This window comes from Homo sapiens, chromosome 7 (assembly GCF_000001405.40).
Source record: "Homo sapiens chromosome 7, GRCh38.p14 Primary Assembly".
In the NCBI taxonomy this organism is placed as follows: Eukaryota; Metazoa; Chordata; class Mammalia; order Primates; family Hominidae; genus Homo; species Homo sapiens.
The window spans coordinates 38183410-38196264 of record NC_000007.14 but is presented as its reverse complement, the minus strand read 5'-3'; the positions used below and the strand labels follow the sequence as shown (position 1 = coordinate 38196264).

The 12855-nt window shown below is 36.7% G+C and overlaps 1 protein-coding gene across 8 annotated transcripts in view, besides 1 other annotated feature; it reads right to left on the bottom strand.

The window, feature by feature from the left end:
• Positions 1-12855, bottom strand: part of STARD3NL (STARD3 N-terminal like) — a 52425-nt gene that overhangs the window by 34405 nt on the left and 5165 nt on the right. The window lies entirely within an intron of this gene.
• Positions 8113-8162: an enhancer, noted in NCBI's record as "active region_25865". NCBI's record gives its function as "activates an Ori minimal core promoter by ATAC-STARR-seq in GM12878 lymphoblastoid cells {active_cell/tissue: GM12878}" and the evidence as "EXISTENCE:reporter gene assay evidence [ECO:0000049][PMID:35858748]".

Below are 12855 nucleotides of genomic sequence, written 5' to 3'. Positions count from 1 at the left end.
TGATCCAATGTGACACTGCATCAACTATCTCCCATCCATTGGCCAAGTGATTCCTATAATTAATTGACAACAATTTAATTTAATAATCCTCTGCATGCCTCCCACATCCTTTTTCTAATTCCATGTTTCTGATTAAGATGTAACATTTTACGTAAGGAAACAACAGGCTGGTCAGGTTGAAGTAAACATTCAGTCCACATGGCAGTTAAGGTGTTCACTGCAGACACTGAGACATGAGCCTACTCATGCAAGGCAAAGCCACTTGCAAGTGGGCTCTTTAAGCTGCTGACTAATCAGGTTTCTCAGTTAACAAGGAGAAGGGCTGGGTTCAAACACGAATAATGTCACCAATGTGATAATACGGAGTAGTTTCTTGGGAGATGGAGTCTAGATATTTCTAATGACCTACATTGGCACCATCAGCTACAAACTACTCTTTGGGAACTTCTAGAGATATCATTCAGACACAGTCTAAATGATGGATAGCTATTACAAAATACTCGCACATTCTGTACATGGTATGCAAGTGGTAATTCCAAAAAAAGAATTATAGAAAGGTTGTATCATCACTCAGATATTCCCCCAGTATCTCTTTATAAACTTACAGGTAATTATCAATAATTTTCCTTAACTGGAATTATTAAGTGGACTACAGTTAGCAAGCTCAAAGCAAAGCTAGAATCACTGAACTTGACTATACAATAATTTGTTTATTCTGACTTGCAAGTATTTGGGTATGATTACTAATTCACACCAATAAAAGTCAGAGGAGGTTCACAGCTCACACAAAGGCTTTTAATAAGTCCACAATAACTCAAGGTGCATAATTAAGCTCTGCAAATTCTGACACATATTCTTTCAACTCAGCAAGTATGGCTAACACTGGGATTTTTAAAAACTGATAAGTGTGGCCAGGGGCAGTGGCTCACGCTTGTAATCTCATCATTGTGAAAGGCCGAGGCAAGTGGATCACATGGGGTCAGGAGTTCGAGACCAGCCTGGCCAACATGGTAAAACCCGTCTCTAATAAAAATATAAAAATTAGCCAAGCATGGTGACGTGCGCCTGTACTCCCAGCGACTCAGGAGGCTGAGGCAGGAGAATCACTTGAACAGGGAGGCAGAGGTTGCAGTGAGCCGAGACTGTGCCACTGCACTCCAGCCTGGTCTACAGAGCAAGACTCAGTCCAAATATATATATAAAATTAGGCTTAATATTCACCACTCAGTATCAGTGTATGCTTTATCAGAAAGAACAGAGATACAAAATGTTTTAAAAACAAAAAAAAGGCAAATGCTATGTAAATGGAAGATTATAATCACAATGAAAGGTTTTGACATTTACTTTTTTAGCCTATTTGATATTTTAATGATACGAATACAGATTATTTCAATACTATAATTAAAATTTTTAAGACAGATAATTATTTTTTAACTTTACAGTCATAGACTATATACTATGTTGAGGAGGTAAGCCATATTTATAAAATTGATCACAAAACTAGACCACCAAAAAACACGTAATAAATCTTGCAATAAGGAACTCTATAGAGAATGAGCAGTGCATAAAATAGACTTCCATAACGTAGTACTATTTACTAAAATAACATTGAGATAAAAATATTTAAAAAGTAAAACAAACTATTGGAAAAAAATGACAGTAAAAACAATGGAAAGCTGTAAACTTGGGCTTACTATCAAAATCACTACCTTAAAGTAATTTACTACTTTTAAAATAAAGAATAAAATTAAATAATTCGGCATTTAAATAATAAGGTTAGAAAGCTGCAACTATTCTATATGGAAAAGGATAGAAAAGAAAAAAGAAAAACAATGAATACAATTAGTAAATCCAAAAGGAGGATGATGATAACTGTTGCAACCTGGGGAGTGGGAAAAATGTGACTCTTTATAACAAAAACTCTACTTTTGTGCCTGATGAACACTTCATAAACAAATTTAAAATATATAGATAAATCCAATGATCAGTCCTTTAAAAGGGCAAATGTAAAGTACTAATAAAGGGAGTACTAATAAAGGAATACAAGTACCACTATAGAAGAGGTCACTTTCAAAGTATAAGTAATATTTTAATTCCATTTGAAAACCATAACTAAAGTCAATACTCTGGAAATATATAAATTACACTAAGAAGCAGCAAATGACCTGAATAGAATAAACCATTCCAAAAAAAGAATAGTGAAAAATAATTACCTAGCAAAGGGACTGGAGTCAGACAGTTTTATGGGCATTTCAATATTTGAAATAAAAGACAAAATCCTACATATTGATTCAGAATGTTAAAAAGGAAATCTATCCTATTATTAAATAAAGCTAGGATAATACTGACATTATCTGAACAAGAACATGTAACAACACAAGAATATTAAAGATTGCAACATACTACAGGACAAAAGTATAAACTAACCACACATATTAATATAACATAATTATATATTACATAACATTGTATATCATATATTAACAATAACAAAATGAATAGAGCTTCCTCACACTGGGACTTACTGTGTCAGGCACAATGCTGAGTACTTAAGATACATTATGTCATTTAAACCTCACAACCGCTCCCACAAGTCAGACAAACATATCAGAGCTTATTCCTAAAACCTCACATAATTCAAAACACATATAGATAAAAACTAATCCTGGCTGGGCGCAGTGGCTCACGCCTGTAATCCCAGCACTCTGGGAGGCCAAGGCGGGTGGATCATGAGGTCAGGAGATCAAGAACATCCTGGCTAACACAGTGAAACCCCGTCTCTACTAAAAATACAAAAAATTAGCCGGGCGTGGTGGTGGGCGCCTGTAGTCCCTGCTACTCGGGAGTCTGAGGCAGGAGGATGGCGTGAACCCAGGAGGCAGAGATTGTAGTGAGCCGAGATCGCACCACTACACTCCAGCCTGAGCGACAGAGCGAGACTCCATCTCAAAATAACAACAACAACAACAACAACAACAACAAAAAACTAATCCTAATAGGAGGACAGACATTTCTGTTTACTCATTAAAACGTTTCACTGCATTTCAAAAGCATGCACGAACACAACTTACAATTCATTTAGGCCAAAAGCTTTGAAATTATGTACATTTTGATTGGTTTTTAATTGGAGGCAGGTGGCAGGGGGAACTTGCATAATTTCAAATTTTGTAGGACAACTCTTCATTTCCAAGTGGATATCTGTTTCACTCTCTTAAAATGTGGCTAAGTCTCTTATTCTGAAAGAGACACAGAGAAACACATAGAGAGGGAAGGATTTTGGAAAGAGCCAGGGAGAAACACATCCCTGACATAAAAAAAAACCAACAACAATGTAAGCTGAAAGAAAATTGGAAACTGACAGTTGGCCTCAGGAGACAAGGAGAACAAACAGGAGAGGAGTGTGCGCCCGATCTTCAGGGGCTATATGTGTGGAAAGAGAGGGCAGACTTATATTTATCAGTGGATGCCAGAAATCTGAATTGTAACAGGAAATTTTCCAAATATTAAGCATTAGTTCATTTTTTTAAAAAAGCACTTAGTTGACAGCAGCCGATTTTTTAGAGAAGCAAATTAAATTTATGAGATTATTTATTAAATGGTTTCTTGGGACCTTCATTCAGGTAGAGCTCAAACTCTTTAATTTTGCCTAACCTAACACTGGCCTACTTCTCCATAGCCACTTCATCATGGTAAAAAATCACAAGCAGTTCCCTAAAGACATTATGTTCTCACAAACCTCTGCTTGCATTTTTCTCTCCAGTAGCACCTTGAGTGCCACTCTCCTTATCTGTAAAGTTCTGACCCACTTGATAAGCCTTAATTCAAAGCCCATTTTCTCAGGGAAACCTTTGTTTCCTCTTACTCTTCTAACCCTCTCTGCCCCTATCAAAGAAGAGTGTACACAGACCTCTATAATTACATCTATCATGCCGCATACTTTTGCCTTCCATTTAAAAAAGCAAGAAACAAACAACAACAACAAAACTTTGTTAACAAGAGCTCACTTTTATGATTTTGTGATTCATATATTTACCAATTCCTTCAATCCAGGGGAGTGGGAAAAGACTAGACACAGAAAGAGAAAGAGAAAGCAAAAAAAGAAAGGCAAGGCAGCCATTTAAAATAGCATCAAAAACAAAACACTAAGGAATAAATTTAATAAAAGATATGCAATATTGCAAAACTGAAAGCTACATAATACTGCTGAGAGAAATGGAAGTAGTTGAAAATAAATCGTGAGATATACCATGTTCATGGATTGGAAGAATTCATATTGTTAAGATATCAATTCTCCTCAAACTGATCTACAGATTCAACTCAATCCCAATCATAATCCCACCATGCTTTTTTTTTTAATAGAAACTGACAAGCTAATTCTAAAATGTATACAAAATGCAAAGAAATAAGCCTGTCCAAAGCAATCTGGGAAAAGAACAAAAATAGAAGACACATTACCTAGCTTAAAGACTCCACAAAGCTTCAGTAATCAAAACAGTATGGTACTAGCATAAGAATAAACAAATAGGTCAATAGAACATAATAGAGAGTATATAAATAGGCCCACACATATATGGTCATTTCAATTTTGACAAAGCTGTCAAAGTAATCCAATGGTGAAAATAAAGTCTGTTTTCTGCAAACAGTGAAGAAAACAACCAGATATTAAAACTGAAAAGAACTTCAAACCCTAACTCACACCAGGTAAAAAATAATTTAAGACGATTTACAGACCTAAACGTAAAAATTAAAAATACAAAGCTTTAGAAGAATGTGTAGGACAATTTTTTTTGCAATATTTTTTGCAAAGATTTCTTAAAGAAGACACAAAAAGTTATAACCATTAAAAAAATTGTGTAGGCTGTCATGAAGGGGCTCCCCCTGGTCCATTTGGGACAACTTAAACATAAAAATGAATAATGACAGTAATGTTGGAATTTACATTGGACAAATTTAAAAATTCCATGAGTCCATGGTAATATTGTAAATAAAAGACAGATGGCAGGGGAAGAGTTCTTCTATACAGAAAAAAGTCACATAAAAATGTAAAAGGAATAATAAAATTAGAAAAATCAGTGGTTTGCAACTCCCAGTGTAGTAACAGATTCAGGCAAGGACCATTATGGATGCTGGCAATTATTAAAAGGTTGTTGGGGGATATGATATTGTAGTTTCAAAGCAGCATCTCTCAGATTATTTAATAATTTCATTGGGGATAATATGCTTTTACAGTGGAGAGATCTGGCAGTCACCATCTGAACCATGTAATCAAACAGCATCACCAATACTGGAGCAAGCTGGCATTACCTGCCTTCTGATGCGTTGCAACAAGAACTATATAACATCAATTGTGATAAATCCTTGCCAGAAGTTTTACTTGAATTTAGTCATTAAAAATAACAATAATAAACAGTATATGGGACATTCTAAAGGCGACTATCCTGGACTCTTCAGAGAAGTCAATGTGGTGAAAAACAAAAATAAAAAGGATAGTGGTGTGAATACTCTTCAAATAGAAAAGAGCATAAAGAGACACGAGCATCACATGCAATGCACAAGCCTAGAATGAATCTTGAATTAAAAACAAAAGCCACAAAAGTCAATTGGAGAATTGATTACAGTTTAGTAATGGTTATGCAGGAGAGTGCCCTTATTCTTAGGAGATGCACGCTGAAGTACTGAAGGATAAGTGTCATCATGTATGCAACTTATTTCTGATTCATTCGGAAAAACGTAAGGGCATAAGGCTGTTTTGAGATGGCACTGCTGTGTCTGTACCTGTTTATCTATACACAGTATATACACACATACACACAATATGAATACATTTAAACATAAGATGCATACAGTATACATACACACATGTAGCATATGTATGTGCCATAATCCCCCTCCCCAACCTTATCTGAAGTTTCACTTTCCAGTTTCAGTTACCTGAAGCACTTGAACTACAAAAATACTACATAGAAAATTCCAGAAATAAATGTTCATGAGTTTTAAATTGTGTGTCATCATGAGTGGCATGATGAAATCTCCCACTATCTCACTCCATCCCACCCAGAACATGAATCACCCCTTTGTCCAGAATAGCCACACTGCATATGCTATCTGCCCATTATTGTATAAGTAAAACCAAAATATTCATAGGGGTTTGGTACTATCTGTTGTTTCAGGCATCCCCTGGGGGGGCTTGAAATGTACTGTCCATGGATAAGAGGTAACTATTGTATAGCAAAGAAAGCAAAGGCAAATTTTCATGGCAAAAAAATCATGAGACCAACTTTGCTCTTAAGTATGCTACACTTAAAGGCAAAGACAAACCAAACATCCTCAAAAACCTCTTAAATCATGCTATAAAACAGAATGCATATGAATTTTGTACACGTACCTTTGTATAAAAATTCCTAGATACACAAGTTTGAGTTGCACTGATAGACTTAAAGGAAAAGCCATATAAGAATTCCAGATACCCAAATCATTCTGCCCTTAATACAACTATCAAATTACCTAAACACAAATGGAGGTAGTTAAAGGCTTCTAAAGCATGCATGACTAATAGATAGAAGTCATTCTATTTGCATTTTGAGCCAATGTCACTTATATAACTGAAAATGGTGTTTTATTATTGTTGCTGCTATAAGGTGTATGTGAAATAGTGGAGTCACATCATCCAATGGTTTGGGGTCTAAAGTTTGCTCAGGTCTTTAGTAAAAACGTGTACAACATACACCACAAGCTTTTACAAGCCAAGTTGCTCCTTCATTTGTTCCCTGCACTAGAACTCAGGGACCCCTGGGGAAAGACAGATCTTTTACAAAGCACCACCTACCAAGGCTCAGACACACCATGTGTTATTTAATTCACATGGCTGACTTATTACACTTGGATGCACATTTCAACTGCACTTCCTTCTGCTCCTCTCCTTACTTTTCTTTATGAATTTCGACAGCCCAACTCCATGGTAACATCTTTATATATTATTTCCACGGTGTTATTCTTAATCTTTATTTTCTAGGCATCATATTTTCCAGTGTTATTTATATTCATTTGGGATGTAATTAATGCTTTCATTCCATCTTAATAAATCTTCTCACTCTTGAATGCTTTGTGTTCTGCCCTTTTCCCAGACACACACACACACACACACATCCAAGGCTGCCTGTTAAAGTTTGGTCATTGTTTTGTAGTCTTGTCTCATTCAATGATTTCTATTACCATCAGCAGATAAAAGTAATTGTGTGCACATAACAGAACTTAACCTTTCAACAATCTGCTTTAAGACTCAGATTGATTTAGAAATTAACATCAATGACTTAGAAAAATTTAAGGGGAAAAATACATGTCATGGTGCTTTTAAGTCACTCCTCTGGCAGACATTAATTTATCTCCCGAACTCCGACTGTTTTTTAAAGCAACGCAATTTCTATGTGATCTATTTCCTATAGGAATATTAAAAATATTACTAAACTTTCATTTGACATGTAATGCAGAGATAAATATTAAGATTTAAAGATGGCTGGGTAAATGCATATCAATGTTTTCATAATTTACGAGACAAACCTAAAATATACATTGAGAAGCTGAATCTGGATGTGAACTACATGGTTTAAGAACCGCACTTCATAATGTTTGAAAATTCAAGTTTGCCAAGAATATACCACATCTACTTCATTCACTCCACAAATATGTTTGAGCACTAAAATTGTGTCAGGTCCCCTTCTGAGCACTCCCATGGTGATGAACAAAACATCTATCCTCACAGAGTTTACCTTCTACAGGAAGGGGATGGAAGACAAAGTAGGGCTGGAAACATGGTCATTTTAAACTGAGGGGTCGAGATTATTTCATTGAGGCAGCATCTGAGCAACGACTAGGAGATAAGGGAGAAATGCCAGGTAGATACAAGGAGGAAGGGTACTGCAGATAGAGGGAAGAACAGGGGCAAAAGTTCTGAGGAGGGGTGGAGCTGGTCACAGAGGAGTGCAGCCAGGTGGCCAGCGAAGCTGCAGCCAAGTGAGAGAGGGGAAGCACCTCAGATGATGACAGATCAGTTAACAAAGGGCTGGGCCTTGTGTGTGGGCCACTGTAAAGTCTTACTCTGAATGAGATGGGAAGACACCGGAAGATTTTCAGTAGAAGAGAAAAATAATGTAGCTTAAGTTTTAAGAGGCTCTGCTGAAAGAAGCAAAGAAGTGGGGAAACCAGTTAGGAGACAGCAGCAATAATTCAGGAGAGAGATGACGTACTGACTCCATAGAATAGGGTGAGGGCAGTAGAGGGGATGAGAATAGATTGGTTCCAAGTAAGGAGCCCAAAGCATTTGGCGACAGATTAGCCATGGGGTATGGGAGAAAATGAGGACTAAAACAGAACTGCAAAATTTAGAGCTTGAGAAACTGGAAGGATGGATGTGCTATTTAGTGAAAGCGGGAAGCTAGACAAGGGGCAGTTTTGAGCAAGAATACCAGTTCAGTTTAGACATAAAGCATGAGATGCTTATTAATATCCAAGTCGAGATAAAGTAAGCAGTTGGATATGAATCAGGAATTCAGGGGAGCATAGAGATGAAATTTTAAAACATAAGATAGGCAGAAATAAGAATGTTCTTCTATGCCATAAAAATGAAAAAAAAACTAATAAATTGTATCTATTTGTAGAACAGAAAACAATTATGAAGTGGGCCCTATGTAAGTCCACTAAGAGTTCCCATTTTAGTAAACCATAAGCATTGAGCACCGAAAAAATGTAACACCACACAGGCATTTAAAAGGATTCAAAGGTAATACAAGAGTTCTCATGCTCTCAGCAGAACCTACATCTAGTCAATAGGGAAGATATATAAATAATACAAGGGAATGACTGAAGAGAGGGAAAAAAATCAAGTATATATTATTGACAATAACTACACCACTAGGACTGTTGCTTGGTCCAGGCAAAGAAGAGCAAGCCAGAAAGAAGAAAGGCATTTGACAATGTATATAAGTTGTTCCATAGACTACAGGTTGGCAAAATGGGAAGATGCCACACAGCTGCCCAGTAATGTTGGGTGGTATGAAATACTTGTTAGCTCATCAACCCTGCAGGGGTCAACAACTTGGTAGTCAGTTATTTCACTAGCATGGGCTGAGTCAGCCAGCTGGCATGTTGGAGCTGGGTCTCACCACTCGTTCAACGCAAGTCTCTCTCAAGATGGGCCCTGAGGATTAAGAATGTTCTTTCATTTGTTTCTCTTTTTTTTTTTTAGAAGCTGCTGTCAGGTAGCCCAAAGTAACTGAAACAACGGGGTCTCTATAGCTACCTTCCTCCAGCTTCTATTGTCTCCAACCTTTTATTCTCACAGTGGTTTCTCCTGGCATTCAAATTGATTTTGCAGCTTTTTTCCCCCTTTCTCAGCTTTGGCTCTAACTCCTAAACTTAAATACAGCCATGTGTCACTTAATGACAGGGATACATTTTGAGAAATGCGTCATTAGGTGACTTCCTCATTATCACAGTGTTAACTGACACAACCTAGATGGTAGAGCCCACTGTACACCTAGGCTATATGGTACAGCCTATTGCTTCTAGGCTATAAACCTGTACAGCATGTTACTGTGCTGAATACTATAAGCAACTGTAACACAATGAGAAGTATTTGCATATCTAAACAGAAACAATACAGCAAAAATATGGTATTATAATTTTATGGGACCACCATCATATATGCAGTCCATTGTTGACCTAAATGTTGTTATGCAGCACATGGCTGTATTTTCTCCACAGCTCACCTAGAAACTCCTTTGTTTTAATCTTCCAGGTCATAGAGCTATTTGTAACCCAATTTTTCCTTTAGGAGACTAATAAGGTCACTTCCACAAGTACAAAATACTGCTGATTTTTCAGTTGTTGACTATCTTTTTCCAGAACTTTTCCTTGGTCCCTCATAACAAAATCTACTTTTAGCCGTCCTAAAAAATCACACAATACATCAGTTATAAAATACCTGATGGCTAGTGCGAAGTTACCATTATTTTTGCCAATTTTGACTCATTAGTTCTGTCAACCATCAGCAGACCAGCACTCAAGGAGTCGTGTTGCTCCTCAGTGTACATATAAATATTCCTATGAATATTTACGACTTCCTCTTAGAGATGTATCACCAGCCTTGGCAATGGAGGAGTCAAGAGTCATATTACTATCTAGACAGGTGAAGGTCCCTCAATTAAGGAACTTGAAATATTTTCCAATGCATATGAGGACATCTCTGCATCACATAATGTCATTCCTTCGATACTTACTACAAGCAATTTTCAAACAAATGCTGTCAACTTTCAGCACAGGACTTGAGATCTTATTAATCTAGATCTGAAAATCAATAGTATCCACAGTGGTGAGCTCACTGCTCTCCCAGGAATCATAGGCAAGTGGCTAAAAGTGTACCTTCTTTTAGTAACTATCCTTCATCCCAAAGAAGGTGTTCACCACACATTCTTCAACGCCTCCCCAGACCTATCTTTCTATACAGAGAAAACAGAAGCTGAATTCCCAGGGGCCAGCTGATAAGTAGTCAGCAAAGCCAGCACAGCTATTCATAGACAAGCTAGGTTTCTTTTCATTCAACAACATAAAACTCCTCAGGAATGCGGGAGATAAGTGTTCCTGAAAATGTCACTCCAGTTGACAGAGCCATCTTCTACTCACTGTCCCTTTGGTGGCTCTTGGTTGGTGGAAGTGGCACACTAACAGCAATGCTAGGGAAGATGTTACTTTAACTGCCCCAGGAGACAGCTGAGACCAACTCCCCATGTCACAAAATAGAGCAGGTTAATGAAAGGTGTGCCATTCACATCTATGCCCAGGGGTATCTATCAACAGGCAGAAGTTACATATGTTATCTCCTATGATGTGATATACAAGAACAGCACATAGGTCCAAAAAGAAATTATGAATCATACCACAGATAAAGGTTTGTAGTCCAAAGATTAGTGCATGTGACAGACAGGGAAAGTCAGTCTCAAAATCTTGATGCCTAGGTTTTAAAAATCACCAGTATCCTTTTCTCTGAAAGACTTCTTAGGCAGTCATAAAGAAAATCAGACCCTCAAGAAGATCAGCAACCGAAGTAACCTCGTGATCCCCTTTATCATCAGCCTAACTCATGTTTTAGCAAATAGAATCACACAAAGACCACTAATCACAAGACTCAATTCAACTACAGGCTAAAATATTCAGAAAATAAAGTGTGCTTTACAGTCTAATAATAAGAACAGACTCAGAGCACGTTACAGAGGCAGAGAATACAACAAAAGTAGTAGGATCTCTTTAATTTCATAAAGTTCTCAATAAAAGTTTGAAACTAGCAGCATTCTTGAAAAACTTGCTCTCAAATAATGCAACAAAACAAGCAATAAAGAAAATTATGACTATGGAAATACATATATATAGTATATATGCTGCCTATATATATATGTATTTCCATAGTCATAATTTTCTTTATTGCTTGTTTTGTTGCATTATTTGAGAGCAAGTTTTTCAAGAATGGTATATGTTATATACTATATGGGTTATATATTATATATATATTATATACTATATGGGTTATATATTATATATATAGTATATATTATATACTATATCGGTTATATACTATATATAGTATATATCATATACTATATATTGGCACCATCCCCTTGCCACCATCCCCTTGGTGATGAGTGAGCTCTTACTCTGAGTTTGCATGAGATCTGCTTGTTTAAAAATGTGTGGCATCTCCCTTCTCTCTCTTGCTCCCGCTCTTGCCATGTGACATGCTGCTCCAGCTTTTTTTTCTGCCATGACTGTAAGCCTCCTGAGGCCTCACCAAAAGCCGAGCCATGCTTCCTGTACAGCCTGCAGAACTGTGAGCCAATTAAACCTCTTTTCTTTATAAAATTATCCAGCCTAAAGTATCTATAGGAAGCGACACATATGGACTGACACAGGAAGTTTCGCCATCCTGCCTTTGCCCCAGTTCTCCCTCTGCCTGGAATGCCTTTTCCTTGAACCACCAAACTATCATATTAACAGCAAGAATAAGCCTATTAATTGTTCAAGGTAGCTTAGGTATCACTTCCTGGATGAAACTTTCTCTGACCACGTATGTATAATATATATCCCATATACCTTTAAGAGCACCTCCAGTCTTTCACATGTTTCACATATTGTTCATGTCTTCTTCTCAGTACTATACTGAAAACTCCTAGAGAACATTCTATATTCTTAGCACCCAAAGATATGCCTGGCATGTGTTAGGTATTCAATTAGTTTAAAAATTGCAACTATCATTGTATGAAAGCACAAAGTCATCTGAGTACTTGCTAACTAAAGTTAGACAAACTTACACATATGGTTGGAGTTGCAATATGGTACAGTCCTCCCTTGGTATATTATATGCAGGGAATTGGTTCCAGAACCACCTGCATACATGGGTTCCACATGCTGTGAAAACTATTTTAGGTCAGGTCCCTGTTTTATTTAAAACAATTCACATACAACTAGACAGGTTTCTGTATTATTCAAGGGTCAGCAGTATATTAAATAAGCTAAGAATATTTAATCTCCAGTTAATTTCATTTACAATGAAATTAATAAAAATGTTCCCAACTCTCCCAAATTAACTAAATTGGTAATCTTTCTTTCCAATATATTTTGAATGCTATTTAGTGAAGTCATTCTAACAACACACTACAAAAATGAATACAAGTATATAGAAACAGAAAGAAATCACTACATGAGTAGGAACCCATCTAACCCAAACAAATGGACATATTTATTAAGCATCTCTCATAAGTAAAACACTATGCTAAATGCTATGCAGGAAATAAAATGGAAAAGACATGG